The 25,343-nt window shown below is 37.1% G+C and overlaps 1 protein-coding gene across 23 annotated transcripts in view; it reads left to right on the plus strand.

The window, feature by feature from the left end:
- Window positions 1–24,014, plus strand: part of ZNF226 (zinc finger protein 226) — a 34,391-nt gene extending 10,377 nt beyond the window's left edge. For 15 of the 23 annotated variants that reach the window (NM_016444.3, NM_001032372.2, NM_001388171.1 and 12 more), the window contains one exon: window positions 22–2,209. In NM_016444.3, coding sequence (NP_057528.2) covers window positions 22–2,198 — 2,177 coding nt within the window. In that variant the 3' untranslated portion in view covers window positions 2,199–2,209. Of the gene's footprint in view, window positions 1–21 lie in introns of all 23 variants that reach the window. The other 8 variants (XR_007066996.1, XR_007066997.1, XR_002958357.2 and 5 more) reach the window with 8 other exon arrangements.
- Window positions 24,015–25,343: the final 1,329 nt, after the last annotated feature.

Below are 25,343 nucleotides of genomic sequence, written 5' to 3' on the forward strand. Positions count from 1 at the left end.
CTGAATCCTTTGTCCTTACAGGAGAGAAAAATCAAAGTAAGTTAATTACTGTTCAAGACAGAGAATCAGAAGAAGAGCTTTCTTGTTGGCAAATCTGGCAACAAATTGCAAATGACTTAACCAGGTGTCAAGACTCCATGATCAATAATTCTCAGTGTCACAAACAAGGTGATTTCCCTTACCAGGTAGGGACAGAACTGTCTATTCAAATTTCTGAAGATGAGAACTATATAGTAAATAAAGCAGATGGTCCCAATAATACTGGGAATCCAGAGTTTCCTATCTTGAGAACCCAGGATTCTTGGAGGAAAACATTCCTGACTGAGTCACAGAGATTGAACAGAGATCAGCAAATTTCCATAAAAAATAAATTATGTCAATGTAAGAAGGGTGTTGATCCCATCGGTTGGATTTCACATCATGATGGTCATAGAGTACACAAAAGTGAAAAATCTTATAGACCCAATGATTATGAAAAAGACAACATGAAGATTTTGACATTTGATCACAATAGCATGATTCACACAGGACAGAAATCGTACCAGTGTAATGAGTGTAAAAAACCCTTCAGTGATCTCTCCAGCTTTGATCTTCATCAGCAGTTACAATCAGGAGAGAAGTCTCTTACATGTGTTGAGCGTGGAAAAGGCTTCTGTTACAGCCCAGTTCTTCCTGTTCATCAGAAAGTACATGTGGGAGAAAAACTTAAGTGTGATGAGTGTGGTAAGGAATTCAGTCAGGGCGCTCATCTACAGACCCATCAGAAAGTCCACGTGATAGAGAAACCATACAAATGTAAGCAATGTGGGAAAGGTTTCAGTCGTAGATCAGCACTTAATGTTCATTGCAAGGTCCACACGGCAGAGAAACCTTATAATTGTGAGGAGTGTGGGAGGGCCTTCAGTCAGGCCTCTCATCTTCAGGACCATCAGAGACTCCACACTGGGGAGAAGCCATTCAAATGTGATGCATGTGGTAAGAGCTTCAGTCGGAATTCACATCTTCAATCCCATCAAAGAGTTCATACAGGAGAGAAACCATACAAATGTGAGGAGTGTGGTAAGGGCTTCATTTGTAGCTCAAATCTTTACATTCATCAGAGAGTCCACACAGGAGAAAAACCCTATAAATGTGAGGAATGTGGTAAAGGCTTTAGTCGGCCTTCAAGTCTTCAGGCCCATCAGGGAGTTCACACTGGAGAGAAGTCATACATATGTACTGTATGTGGGAAAGGCTTTACTCTGAGTTCAAATCTTCAAGCCCATCAGAGAGTCCACACTGGAGAGAAGCCATACAAATGCAATGAGTGTGGGAAGAGCTTCAGGAGGAATTCCCATTATCAAGTTCATCTAGTGGTCCACACAGGAGAGAAACCCTATAAATGTGAGATATGTGGGAAGGGCTTCAGTCAAAGTTCGTATCTTCAAATCCATCAGAAGGCCCACAGTATAGAGAAACCTTTTAAGTGTGAGGAGTGTGGGCAGGGTTTCAATCAGAGCTCACGACTTCAGATTCACCAGCTGATCCATACGGGTGAGAAACCATACAAATGTGAAGAGTGTGGCAAGGGATTTAGTCGTAGAGCAGATCTTAAAATTCACTGTAGGATCCACACAGGAGAGAAACCATATAATTGTGAGGAGTGTGGGAAGGTCTTCAGGCAGGCCTCAAATCTTTTGGCCCATCAGAGAGTCCACAGTGGAGAAAAACCATTCAAATGTGAAGAATGTGGGAAGAGTTTCGGTCGGAGTGCACATCTTCAAGCCCATCAAAAAGTCCACACTGGAGATAAGCCATACAAATGTGATGAGTGTGGGAAGGGCTTCAAGTGGAGCTTGAACCTTGACATGCATCAGAGGGTGCACACAGGAGAAAAACCATATAAATGTGGGGAGTGTGGTAAGTACTTCAGTCAGGCCTCAAGTCTTCAACTTCATCAGAGTGTCCACACAGGAGAGAAACCATACAAATGTGATGTGTGTGGTAAAGTCTTCAGTCGGTCTTCACAACTACAGTCTCATCAGCGAGTTCACACTGGGGAGAAACCTTATAAATGTGAGATATGTGGTAAGAGCTTCAGTTGGCGATCAAATCTTACAGTTCATCACAGAATCCATGTTGGTGATAAATCCTATAAAAGTAATAGGGGTGGTAAGAACATCAGAGAATCCACACAGGAAAAAAAATCTATAAAATGATTCTTTGTGAAGACTCGTGTCATTTGAATTCTTCCAGTTATCAAGTCTCAAAGTCAGTGTTTCAGCCGTAGCTCCTCATGTCCCAGTGGTCCAAAGACAACAAAACAATCTTTATGATTAGCATAGCAAGGGCTTCTTTAGTCAGAACCTTGACCTTTATAAAATGTTACTTAGAAGAGGGGTGTTAAGAGTGAAATTTTTCTCAGGCCTTTTATAAAAGTATCATGGTGGACATGCCAAAATTAAGTGTCCACTAGAATGTTAACTCCATAAAGACAGAAACTTTGTTCACTACTGAATCTACATAATCTTACCATTGCCATATACTTCACAGGTGCTCAATATTTGTTAATAGGTCCTTTTTGAAAATTATGTTGAGATCACCTGCAGAATATCATGAATTTGTAAACAGGAAACCTGAAAGTAGCCTTAATAAGATTAAGTCGGGAGACCATTGAAATGTAGAAAACCACTCAATACTGAACTCCCCAATGTTAATTTGGCATTGTCTTGTGATTAGATCCTGTCCTCCTTTAGCCTCACTAATCAAGTTGGGTCCTATCTTCCCAGATGTCTAGTTTTCTACTGGTTTTATACCATATAGATTCAATTATCTTTTGTAACAGATAATTGTGTTCATCTTGTAATAACTGGACACTACATACTACACTTATTTTTTCAACACTGTTAAGGCAGGGGTTTAAGTGTCAGAGTTGCTAATGACACATTTTTTAGTAGATGTTGATCATTGGTTTTTTCACATTTTCATTCAGGCTTTGACATGATTGCCTTCTAAGGGCTTTAGCATTACTTTAATCAGAGTTTAGGTTGCGGCTATTGCAGATTTCTTTTGTGAACTTCTCTCCCCCATATTCTGAGAAAAAGGACAAAATATTAGTTAAAATTTGATAAATTTCATCAAAAATCGATTTTTGGAGCATGACTTTCACCCTTTTTCCTAGTGGTGGCAGTGAAAAAAATGCTTTTGGAAGAGAAGTTAGTATGTATCAGAATATAGAATGTGCATCTCTTTTTTCTGGAATTCATAGAATAGGAATTTTTGATTAGGAGATTCAAGTAGAAAATGTAAGTAGCACATCAGTGTTAATGAATTTTGTAAAAATAGAAATAATTTTTTATATACTACAGTAAAAAGGATCCTTGAAAATGATGACCAAATTTTATGACAGAAGAGTGTAACAGTTTAGTTTAAGAACATCACAGGCTGGGTGTGATGGCCCACGTCCATAATCCCCGTACTTTGGGAGGCCGAGGTGGGTGGATCACCTAAGGTCAGGAGTTCGAGACCAACCTGGCCAACATGGTGAAACCCTGTCTCTACTAAAAATACAAAAGGTAGCTGGGCGTGGTGGTGCGTGCCTGTAATCCCAGTTACTTGGGGTGTTGAGGCAGGAGAATCGCTTGAACCTGGGAGGCGGAAGTTGCAGTGAGTCAAGATGTTGCCACTGCACTCTAGCCTGGGCGATAGAGTGAGACTCAGTCTTAAAAAAAAATCACATACCTTAAATTCGTGTGTGTCCATGTGAGTGAATAGTGCATCTAATCGTGAGTCTGTCCTATGCCACCACAGCATCGAAGAGAATGCAGGAATTTTTTTCACATTTAACTTCTATATTTTAATTTTTTAACTGAGCATCGGTTTTATAGTAAAATACTGTTATTTTACAGTAACATAGTAAAAATATAATTTAAAAAATTACTAGAATATATTAATCCCTTACAGTTAAGAAATCTTGTGTCATCATATAGCATATAAGGCCAAAATTAAAGAATGGAACTCTGGAAATCAATTATAAAAACTTGTATGGTGGTTCAAAGATACAGATGCATTGGTAAGAGTGAATATATATTTGCAGTGAATGCATTTGAAGCTGCTTCTTAGGTACAAATCTATGCAATCAATACAGTTTTAATGTAATTCCAGTAGTAGGAATGCTTCTTAATTCTTGACAGACTTACTCACTGGCTGAATGGATAGATAACCCAGGGCACTGGCTTGTCTTTTCAAGTGCTTGGTCTGATTGGGGGAAATGGCTGGGCCTTTCTAGGTACTGTATGGCAAGGAAAATCGAGCTGTGGAAAAAAGGAATAATAAAATTTACAGAGGCCAGGTGCGGTTGCTCGTGCCTCTAATCCCAGCACTTTGGATGGCTGAGGCAGGTGGATCACCTGAGGTCAGGAGTTTGAGCCCAACCTGGCCAACATGGTGAAACTCCATCACTATTAAAAAAAAATACAAAAACTAGTCGGGTGAGGTGATGGGCGCCTGTAATTCCAGCTACTCAGGAGTCTGAGGCAGAAGAATCATTTGAACCCAGGAGGTGGAGGTTGCAGTGAGCTGCGATCGTGCCACTGCACTCTAGCCTGGGTGACAGAGCAAGACTCTGTCTCAAAAAAAAAAAAAAAAAAAAAAAAACCCAAGAAGGTGAGGGCAAATTCAGAAGCTATAGAGTGGAAATATGTAATTTTTGAGGTAAAATTTAACAAAGATTCCCTGAGGAAAAGATGTGCGTAGGGAGAGAACAGCATGATGCCAGTGAAAACAAACTGGGAACAGGCAGTTAAGCAGGATCGAATACCATTTCTTTCTTAGGCGTTTCTGTGACATTTAAAGCTTATTTGGTTAAAGGCTTTACTCAGCAAAGGATATATCTGTGAGGTTTCCACAATTTTCTCTATTTGGATTACAATTCCTGTTGTTCCTGGACTGCATCTTCACATGCTAAGTATGTAAAGTCCATGATACCTCAAGTTGTGTTAGATATCAGAAATCCTGAGTCTTCGATGTTTAGTTTGCTCTTAGATATCAGGATAGCCCACCAACTCTCAGTAGCTTAGTGAGTTAAGTCAGGGGTCAAAAAACTACCCCCTGTGGGCCCAATCCAGCCCACTTCCTTAAAGGTTTATTAGAATATAGCAATGCCTGTGTTTTAGTGTATTATCTATGCTTTCTTGCTGCAGTGTCAAAATTTAGTAGTTGTGACAAAAACTATGGACCACAAAATCTAAAATATGTGCTTTCTGGCCCTTTACAGAAAAACGTGTACTAAGCCTTATGTTAAACCAAATGATTTGTCTCCCATAACTTAAAAAAGACCCCAGGTAGAGCAGGACTTAGACCTGCTTCTGTCAGGATTCCAAAATGATTTTTTTTGATTCTCATATCTGCCCTTCTGGTTAACCCTGGTCTTTAGGTTCAAGATGGGGCTAGCAACCAGGGAGCACCTATCTTTTCTTTTCAGTCAGTGGAAGGGAGGTGCTCTTTCATTTGTAGTGTTAGGTAGTTTACTACTCACAGTGTTTGTGGCTCCTCTGGCCTTGATTCTCATCTACACTCAAGATTAGACAGCTAGTTGTGTGTCCAGTTCTTTTGGCCTTTGTGAACTATCAAGTTTCAACTCAGCCAGGTGCAGTGGCTCACACCTGTAATCCCAGCCCTTTGGGAGGCTGAGGTGGGAGGATCTCTTGAGCTCAGGGGTTCAAGATTAGCCTGGGCAATATAGTGAGACCCTGTCTCTCCAAAAAAAGTTTTAAAAGTTAGCTAGCCATGGAGGCACACATGTGTGGTTCCAGGTACTCAGGAAGCTGAGATGGAGGGATCACTTGAGCCCAGGAGGTTAAGGCTGCAGTGAGCTGTGGTCCCAACACTGAACTGCAGCCTGGTGACAGAGTTGAGACACTGTCTCAAGAAAAAAATAAGTTTCATCTCTCCCTTGCACCATGGACTCAACTTCCCTATTTTGAGCCTCCAGGAGATTTTTCTATCTTAGCTTTTAGCTTGGCTGCATATTAACATTTGGGAGAATTTGTTATATATTATCAGGATTCCTTTGTTTTTGAGAAAGAGGGATGCAAAGCCAAAATCAGCGGCTGAATGACAACACATTTAATTCAGAACTTTTAGGGTGTCTTATGTCACAAGGCATCAATGAGAAGGAATGGAATCCTGAAAAATTTGGGAACAGATGAGCAGATTCCAACAAAGCTGAGGGTTTTGCTCAATCTAGCTGAGCATCTCTTGCCGTTAGAAGGAGCCCTTCTTCCTCTATTTGAAGTCAGTCTCCCTTGCCTGAAAAGCCTGTGATGACCTTCCCTGAGATGGTTTCCTTGCAAAAGGCTTTAGATCCTCAAGACTTGCTTCCACTACCTCTCATTTTTCTAGACCAATAATGAAACTCGGGTCTTCACAGACAATGGGAGGAGTCACCAAGTAGAAAATACGACCATGAGGAGATACATCGCCAAAGTAAGGATTTTTGTAATTTATATCAATAGAAACCTGAGAAATAGATATGGTTGTAGATCTTACCAGTGTTGAATCAGGTGGAAATAATACAATGATGGATTAGGCTGGATTTGCTGATATGGGTGTAGTGAACAGTGATTCCAGACCCACTGTTAGCTTGAGCACCTGGGAATAGTTTCAACAGTTTTCTCAGTTGTATGAAACTTGGATGCAAAAACGTTAGCCTACCCTAAAGTAAAAAAAAGCCAGAACTTTGTAAGTATGTTATAGAATTTCTCGACCTTGGCACAACTGACATTTTGGACTGGATAGCTCTGTTAGGGGATGCTCTATGCATTGTAGGATGTTTAGCAGCATCCTTGGCCTCTAGCCACTAGATGCCAGTAGCACACGTGATGCGCGCGCGCGCGTGCATACACACACACACACACAAACACACACACCTCAGTTATAACAAGCAAAAATGTCTCCAGACACTGCCAGACAGCAGTGCGGGGGTTTGGAAATTGTCCCCAACTGAGAACCAGTGTTATAGAACATATACAGAGACATAGGAATGCCAGAATGCTGGAGTGGATGTATGTAAAGCCTTACTCAACCCTTGTACTCTGGGAAGATTCGGAAGACACTCTTTGCCAAGGACTTGAGAAGTTCATTGGCGAGAGGAGCATTGGCAGTTTGGGAGAGCTCTGTAGTAACTCTTCTCGGCAGACCAGGAATGGGAGAGGAAAATTGTGACATTGAAATGGGCTTTAAAAAAAAATTCAATGAGGATGATGGGATCCTGGAGCATTAGGGGTCAAGTGGAGGCACTTTACTGGTAGAGACAAAATGAGTGCGTTTATCACAATGATCAGCAAAGTCAAAGGGATTATCAGAGATCTTTGCATTTGTTCATAGATTGTGGTGTCCCTCTGGCTGAAATAGACCAGAAGCCTACTGAATCCCTGCTTGATTTGAATAAGTGGAAAGACTCTGGGTCTGGTAAATCAACATGAGAGAGAATTGTGGCCTCTAAGGCAATTACATAATGTGAATGAGTTCTCATTCCCAGAACACCTTGAATGAAGTGTAGGTCAAGTCTTCTTGAGAAAGTACACTGATACGCTGCCGAAACTGACTTATACTACCATAAATCATCCTGCACTTCTGCAAAGTGACTTGGCAACCATATTTAATGGAGCTGTGATTAGGTAATTGGAAACAGCCTGAATATGGAGGGATTGATTACTGGTCACTAGAGCTGAATTGACATTAACTCTGAGAACCCTAAAATGTCACTGTAGCCCACCAGGTAGCAGAAGGGCTTATAGAGGATGAATAATTAATGAATGTTTTTGCTTAGGCCCGTTTGTGGTGGTCTGAATGGAGCCCTGAACTCATCCTCTGATTATTTCCCAAGTTTCAGAATGCAGAATTGCACCAGCTGCATTCAATAGCTGACAGAATCCTCATACTGAATGTTCCCTGATCCATGGAAAGAGGGCTATTTTGCCAAGGACAAACACTATAAATGCTTTGTATGTGCCAAAAAAAATGATAACCTGAAAGCAAAACCACATTCATGGAGGAATTGCAGAGGTTAGTGCCACTAGCAGTATCTTGAAAGTTGCAAGGGTTATGGTTCTATCACATCCTGATTCAACCCTGGTGATCAATAGGGTGACAGATGTTGCAGCCAGATCACCTTCATGTTCATATGCTGATTGATTCACTCAATTGACGTGTGCAGAGATACTTATATCCTAGAGAATTACATGAAATTATTTGAAATTTAATTAGAAATTGACTTCATTTGCAGTTCCAGATGTGGTTTTATTTCTACAGCAAATCAACATGTCTGCTGGCACCTGATATAGAGAGCCACCAAGCCAATATGTGCCTTTTTCTCTATACCTGCCTGTAAATGTCATCCACAGAAGTTTAGTTTGGTAGGGCCATCAATACACTTTTAAGGTCCCAGCTCAGTTCTGTATCTACTTTCCAGTATTTTTCACAATTTACCCAGGGATTGGTAAACTATGTTTCATGGACTAAATCTCCTGCAACTTGTTTTTATAAATTGTCTCATTGAAGCATAACCATAACCAGTTTTTACATATTACCCAGGAGTGCTTTTATGCTAAAATGACAGTGTTGAGTAGTTAGGCCACAGAGATCATGTGATCTGCAATGCCTAAAATATTTACTGCCCGGCTCTTTACAGAAATAACTTTCTGACCCCTGCTCTACTCTGTAGATACAATGCTGATTGTACTTTCTAAGCAGAAAGAAGCAATTACAATAGACATTTTGGTTAGAAGATGGATAATACAAAAATTCAGGAGCTGGCCATGTTCATTAGATTCCTAGAGGACTGGCCGGGTGCGGTTGCTCATGCCTGTAATCCCAGCACTTTGGGAGGCCGAGGCAGGTGGATCACGAGGTCAGGGGTTCAAGACCAGCCTGGCCAGGATGGTGAAACCCTGTCTCTACTAAAAATACAAAAATTAGCCGGGTGTGGTGGCGGGCGCCTATAATCCCAGCTGTTCAGGAGGCTGAGGCAGAGAACTGCTTGAATCCGGGAGGCGGTGGAGGTTGCAGTGAGCCGAGATTGCGCCACTGCACTCCAGCTTGGGTGACAGAGCGAGACTCCATTAAAAAAAAAAAAAGATTTCTAAAGGACCAGTGGTATCGGATATTCCAAGATACCTGTTCCAAAGTGAAGAGCAAATAGCTGCATATGACCCTTCTAAAACCACCAGGGAAGAGACACAATGACTACTAGGATTCTTAGTGAGTTTTGTATGTGTGTGCTTCACTTTAAACATTTATTATGGTACAAAAACACATAACACTAAATTTACCATCTTAACCATATTTTATCTTAACATTTTTAAGTGTACAATTCATTAGTGTAAATTGTATTCATATTATGCAACAGATCTATAGAACTTTTCATCTCACAGCACTGAAAATCTATACCAGTTAGATACTATTTCCTCCCCCCTCCTCCCAGCCCCTGGTAACTACCTTTCTAAATTTTGTTCCTATAATTTTGACTACTTTAGATACTTCATGAGTAGACTCTTACAGTATTTGCCCTTTTGTGATTTGCTTATTTCACTTAGCATAATGTTCTCGAGGTTGATTAATGTCGTGCCATGTGGCAGGATTTTCTTCTTTTTAAAGGCTGCATAATATTGCATTGTCTGTGTACAGCACATTTTCTTTATCCATTCTTCTGTCAATGGACAGTTGGATTGCTTCTACATCTTGGCTATAATGCTGTGATGAATATCTATTCCTTTGAGATCCTGCTTTGAGTTCTTTTGGATATATACCCGGAAGTGGGATTGCTGGATTATCCAGTAATTCTATTTTTAATTTTTTGAGGAGCCTCCATATTATTTTCCATAATGGCTATACCATTTTACATTTCCACCAACAGTGCACAGGTCTTCCAACGTTACATCCTTGACAACACTTGTTATTTTTCTCTTCCTTTACCAGTGACCACAATAGTGGGTGTGAGGTGATATCTCATTACAGTTTTGATTTGCATTTTCTAAAAGATTCATGATATTGAACATCTTTTCATGTACTTATTGACAATTTATGTATCTTCTCTGGACATGTGTGTTTAAGAACTTTGCCCATTTCTTTCATTGGATTATTTGGGGTTTTTTTGTTGTTGTTGTTATAGAGTTGTAGAAGTTTCTTATATAATCTGGATATTAACCCTTTATCAGATATATAACTTGCAATTTTCCTCCATTCTGCAGGCTACCTTTTCACTCTGTTGATTGTTTCTTTTGATGCACAGAAGTTTTTGAGTTTGATATAATCCCATTTGTCTATTTTTCTTTCCATTATCTGTGCTTTTGTTGTGATAGCCAAGAAATAATTGCCAAATCTAATGTTCTGAAGGTTTTCCTTTATATTTTCTTCTAGGATTTTAACAGTTTTAGGTCTTACATTTAGGCCTTTAATCCATTTTTATTTAATTTTTGTATACAATGTAAGGTAAGGGTCTAACTTTATTCTTTTGCATATGGATATCCAGTTTTCCCATTACCATTTTTTGAAGAGACTGTCCTTTCCTCATTGTGTAATCTTGGCACTCTTGTCAAAATCATTTGGTTATATATGCAGGGGTTTATTTCTGGGTTCTGTGTTATATTGGTTATATGTCTATATGCCAGTACCACGTCATGTTAATTACTGCTGCTTTTGAAGTATGTTTTGAAATTAGGGAGTGTGAGGCATCTGAGATTGCATACAAATTTTAGAATTTTTTTTTCCTATTTCTGAAAAAAAGTCATTGGGATTTTGATAGTGATTGCATTGAATCTGTAAATCACTTTGTGTAGCATGGAAATTTTAACATTATTAAGTCTTCAAACCCCTGAGTACAGGATGAGTTCCCATTTATTTGTATCTTCTTAGATTTCTTCTTTTATTAATAACAATGTTTTGTAGTTTTCAATGTAAAAATATTTCAGTTATTTGATTAAGTTCTTTCCTCAGTATTTTACCCTTTTTGATGCTATAGTAAATGAAATTTTCTTTTCACGTTGGTGATTGCTAGTATATAGAGATGCAACTGATTTTTTAGTGCTAACTTTGTATCTTGCAACTTTGCTGAGTTATTAGTTGTAGCTTTTTTGTGTACGTGGGATCTTTCTACATATAAGACCAAGTCATCTGCAAATGGAGAAAATTTTAATTCTTCTTTCCAATTTGGATGTCTTTTTAAAAACTTTCTGATTGACCTGGCTAGAATATCCAGTACTATGTCAAATAGTAGTGGTAAGTTGGGCATCCTTGCCTTGTTCCTGATCTTAGAGTAAAAGCTTTCAGTATTTCTCCATTGAATATGATATTAACTGTGGGCTTTTCATATATGGCTGTCATTATATTTAGGTACTTTCCTTTCATTTCTAGTTAAGTGGTTTTTTTTTTTTAATCATGAAAGGCCCTTTATTTTGTTATGTGGTGTATTACATTGATTGATTTTTATATGTTGAATTATACCAGGTATAAATCTTGCCTGATCATGACCTGTGATTCTTTTAGTGTGCTGTTAAATTTAGTTTGCTAGTGTTTTGTTTAGGATTTTTGCATCAATATTTATCAGAGATATTGGTCTACAGTTTATTTTCTTGTGTGTCTTTGCTTTTGGTATCAGGTTAATGATGACTTATAGAATGAGTTTGAGAGTGTTCCTTCCTCTTCACTTCTTTGGAAGAATTTAAGAAGAATTTGTATGTTAATTCTTCTTTAAATATTTGGTAGAATTCTGCAGTGAATCCATCAGGTCCTAGAGTTTTCTTTCTTAGGAGGCTTTTGATGACTACGTCCAATGCCTCACTAGTTATACACCTGTTCAGTTGTTTTCTTAAAATTTCTTCATGATTAAGTCTTGATAGGTTGCATATTCCTAGTTTATCCATTTCTTCTAGGTTATCCAATCTGTTGGTGTATTCTTCTTCATAGTAATCTCTTATACTTTTTTTATTTCTGTGACATCAGTCATAATGTCTCCTCTTTCATTTCTAATTTTAAATATTTGAGTCTTCTCTTTTTCTTAATCTAGCTAAGAAATTAATTTTAATTATTTTTACTAATTAATTTGTCAATTGTGTTAATCTTTTCAAAACAGACTCTTAATTTTCTTTTTAAAAGTTATTTTCTTCTCTCTATTTTCTACTCTAATCTTTACTATTTTATTCCTTCCGCTGACTTTTGGTTTGCTTGTTCTTCTTTTCCTATTTCCTTAAAGTATAAGCTTAGGTTGTTGATTTGAGATATTTCTTGTTTTTAAAGGTAAGTGTTTACCAATATAAATGTCCCTATTTGGATTGCTTTCACTGCATCTCATAAGTTTTGAAATGTTGTATCTCTGTTTTTATTTGTCTCCTGATGTTTTCTAAATTCCTTTATGATTTATTTTTTGGCCCATTGGTTGTTTAAGCATGCATTGTTTAATTTCCACATATTTGTGGAATTTCTTGTTTTCCTTCTACTATTAATTTGTAGTTTTATTCCAGTATAGTTAGAGAAGATACTTTGTATAATTTCAGTCTTCCTAAATTTATTAAGACTTGTAATATAGCCTAACATGGTCTATCTTGGAGAATGTTTCATGCACACTTGAGAAGAATGTGCATTTTACTGTCGTTAGGTGAAGTGTTCTGTATGTATCTGTTAGATCCAGTTGGTCTTTAGTGTTGTTCAAGTCCTCCGTTTCCTCATTGATCTTCTGTCTAGTTCTATCCATAATTGAAAGTGGGATATTAAAGTATCCTACTATTATTGTGTTGCTGTTTATTCCCCATTCAGTTCTGTCAATGTTTGTTTTATATATTTGGGCACTCTAATGTTAGGTGCATATATATTTACGTAGCCCTCTGTATCTGCAGGTTCTGCATCCACAGATTCAACTAATCTTGGATCAAAAATATTTGAAAAGAATGAACCGTTGCATTTGTACTGAATATGTACCAACTTTTTTGGGTGATTATTCCCTAAACAATACAATATAATGACTATTTGCATGGTATTGACATAATATTAGGAATTATAAATAGCCCAGAGATGATTTAAAGTATATGAGAGGATGTGCATAGGTTATATGCAAATATTGTGCCATTTTATGTAAGGGACTTGAGTATCCATGGATTTTGGTATCCACAGAGTGTCCTGGAACTAATCCCCTGTGAATACTGAGGAACAACTGTCATTGTTGTATCTTCCTAGTGAGTTGAACTTTTAATCATTATATGATATCCTTCTTTGTCTCTTGTGACAGTTTTTGTCTTAAGTCTATTTTGTCTGATATAAATGTCAATCTAAATAGAAGAGACAGAGTCTCTCTAAAATAAAATTACATTTATTCAGGAATGAGCATTTCAATGGGAATACAGTGGGTATATTCAGGGAGGTAAATGAAGACAAGAGTTTTATAAGGAAAAATGAAAAGGGCCACATAAGTTGTTTTGAAACAATTTTTCTTGACCACAGGGTTCAGTAACAACGGTGGTATCAGTCCAAGGTTGGACAGCCAGTTGCTGGGTAGATGTCTTCATGGAAGTAGTTTTGTTTGTGTAAGGTCATGACATTTGAGCAACAATGGAGGTTTGGAGGGAGTGGCTCTTAGGCTAGGTCTACCTGGAGTCCGTTGTTAAGTTCAATTTTGTTTGTTCTGTAGGTGTGGGCTATTATTTCAAAGCTGTAGGCCAGCATTATTGTGTTAGGAGTTGTACTTCCACAGAAATTTGACAGGCAACAGGTACAAAGTTTAAAAAGAAAGATACGAAGTAAAATTTATACTAATATGATCATCCCAGTTTGCATAATGGTTTCGAGCCATGAACCTGGGCTTAAAGGCAAGCAACTGAATCAATCAAATGATCATTGGGAATTAGGTGAGACCTAATGTAACTATGTGCGTGTTTTCTTATTTTGTGTATTTGGGTCTCAACTTCCCCAGAGGAATTTATCCAGGTATGCATGTAGTCCTAGCAATAGCATAGACACTACCTTATTTAACCAGTAGATAATATAGAAAAATTTTGTCATCTGATATCTCATGACTGGGTTGAATTAAAAGCATAGAGTGAGTGACAGTTGTATTAGGAATATTTTTAAAGTTGGACTAAAGGATTCTTTGGTCATGTAAAGATCTACAGTTGGCATAACAGATCTAACATTTTGTCAAGTTGTCCACATAAGCTACTAATTGTAAAATTTTAACTACACCATTATCCTGCCCAGTGAAAAAGTTAAGCATAGGCAAGGACAAACTAAGAGGGGCAACAGTCTCATTATGATAAAGATTGTTCTGGCATCTTGAGAAAGCTGTCCACAGCATAAAGACATCAACTTCTCATCCTGGTTTGTAGTTTGAATGTCTCTCGTTATAGCATCGGGTGGTTTGGTGAACTTTCTGCATGACCCACAAATCAGGCATGAGGCTTGTCTCTTAAAATTTACATCAAGTTTTCTAGCTTCAGCTTACAGGGCTTTAGGAAAGAGTAGTTCCCATTCTTAGTAATAACATGGGAGAAAATTAGATTAGGGAACCTAGAATAACTTAGGATCCAGTCTGGTCTACAGTAGATAATAAAAACTCAAAGACAATGCACAGAACTACAATCTAATAACAGATGTATTATAGTCCTTTTCTAGAAACATAATTTTGTCTCTATATAGTTATCCTAATTTCTACCAAAGATAATTACAGTAAGACTGATTTGTTTGTAAATAAGTTTAGTTTTATTATTATTTTAGGTTCTTGTATTATTTTATTAGTTTTATTATTTTAGTTTTTTAAAGTTTATTTATTACTTAATAATTTACATAAGAGCAGCAAGAGTAGTAAATTGAGCACAAAAGAATCTCAGATTTTATTTTATTTTATTTTTTTGAGGCGGAGTCTCGCTGTGTCGCCCAGGCTGGAGTACAGTGGCGCGATCTCGGCTCACTGCAAGCTCCGCCTCCCGGGTTCCTGCCATTCTCCTACCTCAGCCTCCCGAGTAGCTGGGACTACAGGCGCCCGCCACCACGCCTGGCTAATTTTCTTTGTATTTTTAGTAGAGATGGGGTTTCACCATGTTGGCCAGGATGGTCTTGATCTCCTGACCTCTTGATCCGCCCGCCTCGGCCTCCCAAAGTGCTGGGATTACAGGTGTGAGCCACCGTGCCTGGCCAAGAATCTCAGATTTTAAACCTCCTTGAGTCTAGAAAGCCAAACAAAGGCAGACTTCAGACTTTGTTTGCAGTACCAATAAAAATTTAAATATGGCATTCCAGTTTTAATTGGTAATACAACCAATGTTTTTAACTGTATCATGTTACAAGGAGGTACAGATTCATACTGAATGTATGCAAATAATTATATTGTCATTTAAGAAACACTAGCAAATCACTTCCAAATTTTGAAGGGATCAAATAGAAAAAAATAAATATTTCCACCTTTGTTCACAGAAGTATATTTTACCAAATTGTTGTAAACTATAGATAGCTTAAGAGAAAATGTTTCCTTAAACTTGGAAGACAAAACATTTCAGTAAAAAACCAACAATGTTTAAATTAAAAGTTATAAAAACATTATCAGTTATTCAATTTCATGTAATTAGTTTTTGTTATGCTTGATCTTGATTAGCAGTTTCACAAATTCATCAGTTTCTTCACTGCAGTTGTGAAAAGTTTTATTTAGTTCATTAATCTTGAAGTTATTAGAAACTTGTATTTAAGAGTACTTATTAGAGTCTTTTCCATGAATCTGATTGCAGATACCTTTAGAGAAAAATCAAAACTATGGATGTCAAAGACTTAGAATAACCATCATTAAAAATCTGATGGGAGTTCAGCAGTTGAGAAGGAAATTCAATTATTTCTATTGTATTTAGCATTTTAAGGTAACAACCAGAATCGTGGTTGATAGCATTACATCAGGACCATCAGACCTTTTTAAATTTCACATAATATTTAATATACATCAATAACATATCCATGTAACTTAAAGAAAATATAGCATCACTTTATTATTTGACATTGATTCCCATACAATTAATCAAATAAGCCAAATTAGTTTAACATCTCTACAAGATGATACCTCCTTTAAGGTTCTCCAGGGGCCCAACTGGAAAATCTCTCAGTTAATTATAGGTCAAAAAGACTTAATTTAGAACTTTGATCCTGGAGAGACCTGCCAAAAATGTCAAAATGGTTAAAACATTTAATTAAAACAGAATCACAGATTATTGTGGAATAATAGTCATTCACTTAATCAGAGTGAAAAGAGATTCCAAAAGCAAATACAGAACATTACATGGATTAAAAAAAAAAACCTTAATTCTTTCAAAGCTCCTAAGTAATGAAAAACCTAATAAAGACAACATGAAGCATGAGAAATTATTTTGATAAAACAAAAAATCTTTGTTTCCTAGGCCAGCTATCAAAAGATAAAAACCTTCTACATATTTAAAAACCCCTTGTGATTGCTTCTCCCTATGGGAAACCCATTTCAATAACCTGGAAGTTGAGCCTGATGAAAAGGTACTTGAATTCAACTAAACACTGGAAGAGTGTGTATCCAAGGTTATGAGTGTACCATATTATAGAAAAGATAAACAAGAAAACAAGTACCTTGAGCAGGCGGATATGTGGCTCTTAGAAAAAGTAAAAGAATGTGGAATTTATTGGTTAAACAGCAATTCAGACACATCAAGAAAAGACAAAATTACAGAATCAAATTATACTGGAAGAAAATATTATTCCCCTAGATTCTCCTAGGCCTTAAAGACAAACATTTTTAGTGTTAGGCCACAATAGCAGAGTCAGAACTGGAGAGAGAGCCAGAGAGAGAGCGAGCGAGAGAGCGAGAGAAGCAAGAGGAGTGAGAGGTGAGAGAGGGAGAGAGTTACAGGAGCTGACTCCAAAGTTGAGGGAGAGGGTTATCATCCCTAAGGAGACAAGGAAGAGCTGAAGGCAATGATGCATGATTTTAGTCGTTCACTTAATCAGAGTGAAAAAAGCTTCCAAAAACAAATGCAGAACTTTACGTAGATGTAAAAAAAACAAACCTTAATTCTTTCAAAGCACCTAAGTAATCAAAAACCTAATTAAAGACAACATGAAGCATGTTTCTCATCAAATCATGTGCAATGAGATACAGCAAAGTGGAACTGAGATATGAATTTGAAAAGCTTCAAAAGGAAAGTTCTTTTGAGAAACTAAATTACTATTTTTAAATGAGGGAGATAGTATTTTAAAGCTGGAATAAGGGAAATTAAGTGGAAAGTGTAAAACAGGAAAAAGCTGCAGTTCAGAAGACGGCTGAAAATTTAAACGGATTTCAGAATATCAAAACCTCTTGCAGATTTTTTTTAACTAAAATCACATAAATACATCAAGAAAACCTTGTTGCTTTAAACATAGGTGAATGGATTCTGGTTTTGTATCACTGTATTAATACTCAATTTTTGATAAAACCTGTGAATAATTCCCTTTTAACTATAGGCAACTTGATTAAACACAAATTTTTTCCATAAGATTCATCTTATATAAAAAGAAAATTGTCTGACAAATATATCCAGGCAAAATGTATGCTTGCAATTCTGAAGACCTCACTATTTTAACAACAATTTTAAAATCAGTTTATTTACCAAAGATTTACCTAAGTCACACAAATTTTTAAAAGTTGGGTTTATTACTATTTTTAGTAAATAGTTATTTACTATTTTTTCTGATAAATTGCTTAATTTTTTTTCTTTACATCAGTTTCATAAAGTTCTTTTATATATTTCTGTAGAAGAATATTATGTATGTATAACACAGACCAAGAAACATACAGAAACACAAAAAGATCTTATAGCTTATCACTGTAAAATTGTAGTCAAGAAACTGTAAAATATACTAATATAAAATCACAAGTGTATAAAAAAAGACAGTTGGATCCAAATTATATTTCTGAAAAAATGGGACAAGTTAAGATCAGTTTTTCATATTGCTAATCTTTTTTTTTTCTTTTGCCTTTGATAGGTAATCTTATGAGGGAAGTGGACCAAATTTTGGGTAAAGCTGTTTTTATAGCATTTTAGTTTTTGAAAAATCTTTTACCCTTTTTTCCTCTTCAATTTTAAATGAGTTGTTTTAATTAACTTCTGGATATTTACATTTCAGTTAGGATTGGCTAGAAAAATAAACTTCCAAGAATCCTTGAACTTATTAACAAATTTAATACAAGCAAACAAGTTAGCAGATTCAGAGCGAGCAGAGAAAAAAAGAGAGCTAGCTTAGAAGCCCGTACATGTTAATCCTACAGTTCCAGTCTCTTAATTCAGCTCTAAGGAAACAAGCTTAGAGAGTTTAAATAATTCCCATAATGGCCGTACATTATCCTTAGTGTAATTTGCCAATTATTTTTTAAATGTGCATGAGAAAGGACCATAAATTTCAAATGTATAGCTGCCTCAAGTGCCAGAGGGCTTGGCATTCTTTAGAAGTTGAAGATCCCATTGCATTTCTTATCAATCTCTCAAGAGCAAAGAAAAGCCCAAAAATTTTGTCAAAAGCATTGACCAAGCTGTTTTGTTTTAACTAGTGTACCTGACACAGAATTCATCTTTTTATACTTGGCAGATGGCCTTTGTCCTAGTTGTCTAACCTATGACCAAGTTTTCCCTGGTTGTGTAGAAATTTTCTTGAGACTGGCAGGTGCCTCAGTGGTAATCTTCCTTGTCTGTGACTATTTTATCCTTACATGGGAGACGTTTTCTTTGGAGACTGGAGTCCGTCATAGATGGCAGTGACGTTCCTAGTGGCATTTATTATTATTCTTATTTTGTTGTTACTGTTGTTGTTTAGATACAAGGTCTCACTCTGTTGCCCAGGCTGGAGTGCAGTGGTACAATCACAGCTCACTACAGCGTTGAACTCCTGGGCAAAGTGATCCTGTTATCGCAGCCTCCTGAGTAGCTGGGGAGACACGCGTGCATCACCACATCTGGCTAATTTCTAAAGAAATATTTTTAGAGACAGGGTCTTGTTATGTTGCCCAGGCTGGTTTGGAAGTCCTGGTTTCATGTATTTCTCTCATCTCAGCCTCCCAGCTGGCTGGGATTACAGGCACAAGCCACCATGCCTGGTCCTAGTGGCTTTAATTGTCCACTAAAATCAGTTTATTTACCAAAGATTTACCTAAGTCATGTGAACTTTAAAAAAATGTGAGTTAACTACTATTTTTCTGATAAATTACTTAAGTGCTTAATTTTTTTCTTTAAGTCAGTTAAATAGAGCTCTTTCATACATTTTGGTAGAAAATATTACATACATATATAGACACAAGAACATACAGACAACACAAAAAGATATTTTCCCTTTTCCCTTTAAAATTTTAGTCATGATACATTAAAACAGTAATATACTGTGCCATTTAGAATGTTTATTTTTGCTCTTTGAAAGTGTTCAGAAACAAGCAGGGAAAACAAAAGAGCCAAATTATTTACAGTTGCATGTAACCAAATTGACATGAAACCAAATGAAGCGTGCTCACAAAAATTTTAAGCCAGGCTTGCAGAGCAAACAAAATATAAAACCGTGTTTGCAGAAAAACCAAAGCAAATTCAGTAGAAAATACATGCCTCACAGAACGTAAGTTCTGTGGGAACCAGAGTACTCTCCAAAAGAACACTTGGCCTTATACCAGAAGAGGCTTTCCAGAAAAGACAAAAAGTCTTTTGTAGTCCCACAAGGGTTGCAAGGTCCTTAATTTAAGGTGGCCTTATAGCCAAATCCAGATCCTGAATAAAGTCAAAAGAACTTACCAAACGAAGGACGTCTGAGAATCTAAGCAGAGATTCACCAGAGCAGAGAAGGAAGGCCATAGAAGCAGAGGCCACAAAAGGGGTCAATGTTGGTACCTCACTAGATTCCAGGGGATGCTGGCCTGTTTGAGGTCAGCTGACTTCTTGACACAAACTTTATGTCAACCTAAATAGCAGACACAGAGAGAAGATGTCTAAAAGAAAATTGTATTTATTCAGGAATGAGTATTGCAATGGGAATATAGTGGGTGTATTCAGGGAGGTAAAGAAAGACAAGGGCTTTTAAAGAAGTGAGGAGGGTTACATGAGTTTTTTGAAACAATTATCTTTGGCTACAAGGATCACTAACAAAGGTGGTAGTAGTTCAAGGTTGGACAGCCAGTTGCTGGGCAGCTGTCTTAACCAAAGTATTTTTGTATGTGTAAGGTTGTGGTGGCCTTTGTGCAAGGTTGTTGTGATTTTTGCAGTCTTTGTGATCGTTCCTCTTATCAGGTATATGTGCATGAGAACCTTCTTTTCATCACCTTCCCTGGCTCCATTTGTCCTGCTACGGTGACACCAGTCTTTTAGTCCATACATTTGACTTCATGAGGAGTTTGCTATAATCAATTGAATGAAGAAGAAACATGTGGACCTGCTTTATAGGTAATTCTGCATAATGTTCTAGCATCACCTAAAACCGGACAGCTGGCACACTACAGCCTCAGGCTGTGGTGGCCCCAAAGGAGAGTGGTAAAAGAAAATATTCCCATTTGTTAGAATTTTGAGTAGTGTACTTCATAGTTTTTTTTTTTCCCAGAAGGAATGATGCCAGGGGGATGAATAGTTTTGCTGGATGGTCATGGACTTCAAAGAAGCATGATTGATAATTGGTTGACAAGGCAAATTGACAATGAGGTATGTGAGTGGACTACTTTTAATGAGCAGAATATAAAATTACTTGCGGCCTATTTAATTGTCAATAATCAGCAACCTCACCAGAAGATGAGCTTAATAATCAGGTGATCAAGATGGTACATTCTGTGAATATTCTTCAAGATTTTTCTCTAGTCAACCATGTCCATTCCCAGTGGGTGCATGAACAGTGTAGTCATGGTGGAAGAAATGGAGCTTATTAGTTCAGTACTATGAAATTCCATTTACTAAATCCAATCTGGCTACAACCACATTTATATGGCCAAGCTATCAAAAGTATGGACTAACACTGGACCTCAGATAGGCACTGTTCTTCAAAGGGGACTACCAACCTCCTGCTGGAATTTGATTACACCGGACCACTTTGATCATGGAGGAGACAGCACTTTGTTTTCAGTGGAAAAGACAATTACTCTAGATATGAATTTGCCTTTCCTATTCCAATGTTTCTGATAAAAGCATCACATGTGGACTTTACAAAATGTTTTATTTTCTGCCATGGAATTCCACCCAGCATTTCTTGTGACCAGGGCAGTCATTTTTCAAAAAATGAATTGTATCCATTGGGCTCATGTTGATAGAATTCACTAAACTTACCATGATTCCTGTTAACAGTTCCATTTCAGTAGTGGGACATGCCTCAATTCTCAGAAGTCCTACCATCTCTGATTTGTCTTCCCATGTTTGTTTACCTAATTCCTACTTTAAAATGTCCTTGTCCCTAAAATCCTAGTGATTCTGCTTCTCTGATTGAACCCTGACTGATATTGAACCATTTCTGCTCCTTTTCAGACACTACCCCTCTCTCTCAACTATAATCACTTTCCTAACTTCTATCACCATTGACTACTTTTCCTTTTATCTTTATATATATGAAACCATATTGTATATATCCTTTTGTGTCTCTGTTTTGCCCAACATTATGTTTGTGAGATTGAACTATGCTGCTGTTTTATAGCAATTGTTTACTTATTTTGTTACTGTAGAGCAAGTGTAGGCACACTACATCCCATGGGTGAAATCTTGTATATATTTCGGGGTGCACATGTGTGTGTGTTTCTGCTTGCTAGAAGTGGAATTTCTGTGTCATGGAGAATACATAAATTTAACTCTAGCAGATACTGTGAAACATTTTCCAAAGTGATTGTACCAATTTACACTCTTACAAGGACCGTGGTAGAGTTCCATCTGCTCCACGTGCTTGCCAATGTTTGGTGTTGTCAGACTTAAATTATTTTTAAATTATTTTTTAAATTCACCATTCTAATTTTTTAAAAGAAGTAGAGTATAATGCTGGTTACCAGGGGCTGGAGTGGAGGGGTTGGGACATATTGGTCAAAAGATATAACATGTCAGTTATACACGAGTAATTTTTAAAAAATCAGTGATTCTGGTATGGCAATAGAGTTGTCTCATTGAGGGTTTAATTTATACTGCTGTAATGACTAATGAAGTTGAGCAAACAGAGCATGTATCTGAAGCCTTGTACATTTGTATATTCTTCATATAGTGCTTACTCAAGTGATTTGTTGATTTGTCTATTTGGTTGTCAGTCTTATTCTTGTATTTATAGGATTTCTTTATATTCTGCTTACAAGCCTTTTGACATATGTGTGTATTGTGATTATCTTTTCAACTGTGGCCAGCATTTTCACTTTCCTTATGGTACATTTGATAAACAACCATTCTCATTTTAAGTTTTTTAATTTTACTTTTCAGTTGGTACTTTAAAAAATCGTTGCCAACATTAGAGAAGGTCACAAAGATATTTTAGTAGCTATTTAAAAAAATCTTTTAATTTTAAGATCTATATTCCATATCATATTGATATTTACATATGGGATGTGCTAAAGGTCAAGATTAATTATTTTTCTATGTGAAGAATATACAATATCCTCACTTCTTAAGAGATTTCTCCATTTTATTATCTTTGTCAAATATCAAATGACTAGATATATGTAAATCTGTTTCTGAACTTTCTATTATCTTCCATTAGTCTATTCATATTTGCATATATAGCACACTTTTAATTACTGCAAATACATAAAATGTCTTGATGTCTTATCGCATAAACCCACCTCTTTCTATTTTCTTTTGATGTTTTGGTTATTCTTGACTGTTGCTTTTGTTTACAGATTTTAGACTCAGCTTGCCAGTTTTCACCAAAAAACTGCTGAGAATTTTATTAAATATATAGATTATTCAAAGGAGCACTGATAGCTTTACAACATTGAATTGTCCAGTATCTGAATAGCACCACATATTTTAAATTTTCATTGAAGTATAAATATATGTAGAAAAATGTATATGTCATATGTGTCATGATTGTTTAATTTTCAACACACTCAAAATACCAGCATCTGTATCAAGAAACTGCACATAACCAGCATGTGGTAGCCATGAAAATGTATTTCACAAATATTTTAATGCAAGTAACCAAAGACCCCTATTGTTGTGTTTTAAGGTCAATCCTGTGTTTGCATCAAGGCCAGATTTTCTGAAGGCTGCTGCTCCCAGTCAATATCTGAGAGCAGTAAGGATTCTAAGGTAGACCTGTTCAGGGAGACATGGATCTTCTCTGTTGGATAGATAAGATTGTGAATACCTGACTTTAATGGCTTTTTCTTTAATATAACTTTTCTTTCTTTTTTTTGAAATTTAGTCTCGCTCTGTTATACAGGCTGGAGTGCAGTGGTGCGATCTCGGCTCACTGCAACCTCCACCTCCAGGGTTCAAAGGATTCTCCTGCCTCAGTCTCCCAAATAGCTGGGATTACAGACATGCCACCACACCCAGCTAATCTTTGTATTTTTAGTAGAGACGGTGTTTCACCATGTTGGCCAGGTGGGTCTTGAACTCCTGACCTCAGGTGATCCGCCCGCCTTGGCTTCCCAAAGTGCTGGGTTACAGGTGTAAGCCACTGCACCTGGCCTAATGTAACTTTTCTTAAGCTGTATGGAAGTCTAGAATGATTTTATCAAATCTTCCTTTGTTGTTGTGTTGTTGTTGCTGTTGTTGTTGTTGAGACAGGGTCTCACTCTGTCACCCAGGCTGAAGTGCAGTGGCACAATCTTGGCTCACTGCAACCTCTGCCTCCCCGGCTCAAGTGATCCTCCAGCCTCTGCCTCCCAAGTAGCAGGGACTACAGGCACGTGCCACCACACCCAGTTAGTTTTTGTATTTTTTTGTAGAGACAGAGTCTCACTTTGTTCCCTGGGCTGCCTTTTGTTCTTTACTCAGTGTTAGATTTACATCATGGTGCAGCTTCTCTCCTGTTTTCTCTCACAATCATTTCCCCTAATAAAATTCTTACACAACTAATTCTGCCTTTGCATTTTTTTTCTTTCTTTCCTTTTTATTTTTCTTATTTATTTATTTTTTTGAGACAGAGTCTCACTCTTGTTGCCCAGGCTGGAGTGCACTGGCGAGATCTTGGCTCACTGCAAACTCCGTCTCCTGTGTTCAAGTGATTCTCCTGCCTCTGCCTCCTGAGTATCTGGGATTACAGGCATGGGCCACCATGCCCGGCTAATTTTGTATTTTTTGTAGAGATGGGTTTCTCCATGTTGGTCAGGCTGGTTTCGAACCCCGAACTCAGGTGATCCTGCCCACCTTGGCCTCCCAAAGTGCTCGGATTACAGGCATGAGCCACTTCGCCTGGCTGCATTTTTATTTCTAAGAGGACCTGCATTAGCACATCACCCTAAAAACGTTCGTGCCCAATTCAAATTCCTACTTTTCTCTCAAGGTAGGCACTGTTCTGATTTATAATAGCATAGATTTGCTTTGCTATTTTTTATACTTCATATAAATAGAAAAAATATGTACAATTTTGTGTTTTATTTGTCCACATTATGTCCGTGACATTTATCCATGCTGTTGGAAGTGAATATAACTGGTTTACTCTCATTAATATGTATTATTTTAATGTATAAATATCACATAACTTATTAATTCATTTAATCGTTGATTTTGTGTAGTTTCTTGTCCTTGGTTATTAAAATCAGTGCTTGTAGGCTGGGTGTGGTGGCTCACACCTGTAATTCCAGAGCTTTGGGAGGCTGAGATGGGCGGATCACAAGTTCAGGAGTTCTGGATCATCCTGGCCAACATGGTGAAACCCTGTCTCTACTAAAAATACAAAAATTAGCTTGACTTGGTGGCATGTGCCTATAATCCCAGCTACTCAGGAGGCTGAGGCAGGAGAATTGCTTGAACCCGGGAGACAGAAGTTGCAGGGAGCTGAGATTGCAGCACTGCACTCTAGCCTGGGTGACAGGGCAAGGTTTCATCTCAAAAAAAAAACATAAATAAAAAATGAATAAAATAAAATTAGTGTTTGTATAAACATAAAAAGACATGTCTTTTGCTGAACATATGAATCTCCTTCTATTGATAATATATATATAAGCATGGATCTAAGGGTTATACGACAGTTTTAGTAATAGCACTGAAAGTTTTAGTGGTAGCACTAAAACTACTCAGCTTCAGTAATTACTGCAAAACTTTATTGCAAAGTGGTTGTATAAAACTACATTCCTACACGATGCAAGTATTTGCATTTTTGTCAACCTTTCTTTGACTAATTCTTAATTTTAACCTTTATGGTTGGAATGTAGTGGAGTTCTCATAATATTTTGAGTTTCTTTG

The sequence above is a fragment of the Homo sapiens genome, chromosome 19 (assembly GCF_000001405.40).
Source record: "Homo sapiens chromosome 19, GRCh38.p14 Primary Assembly".
NCBI classification, from domain to species: domain Eukaryota; kingdom Metazoa; phylum Chordata; class Mammalia; order Primates; family Hominidae; genus Homo; species Homo sapiens.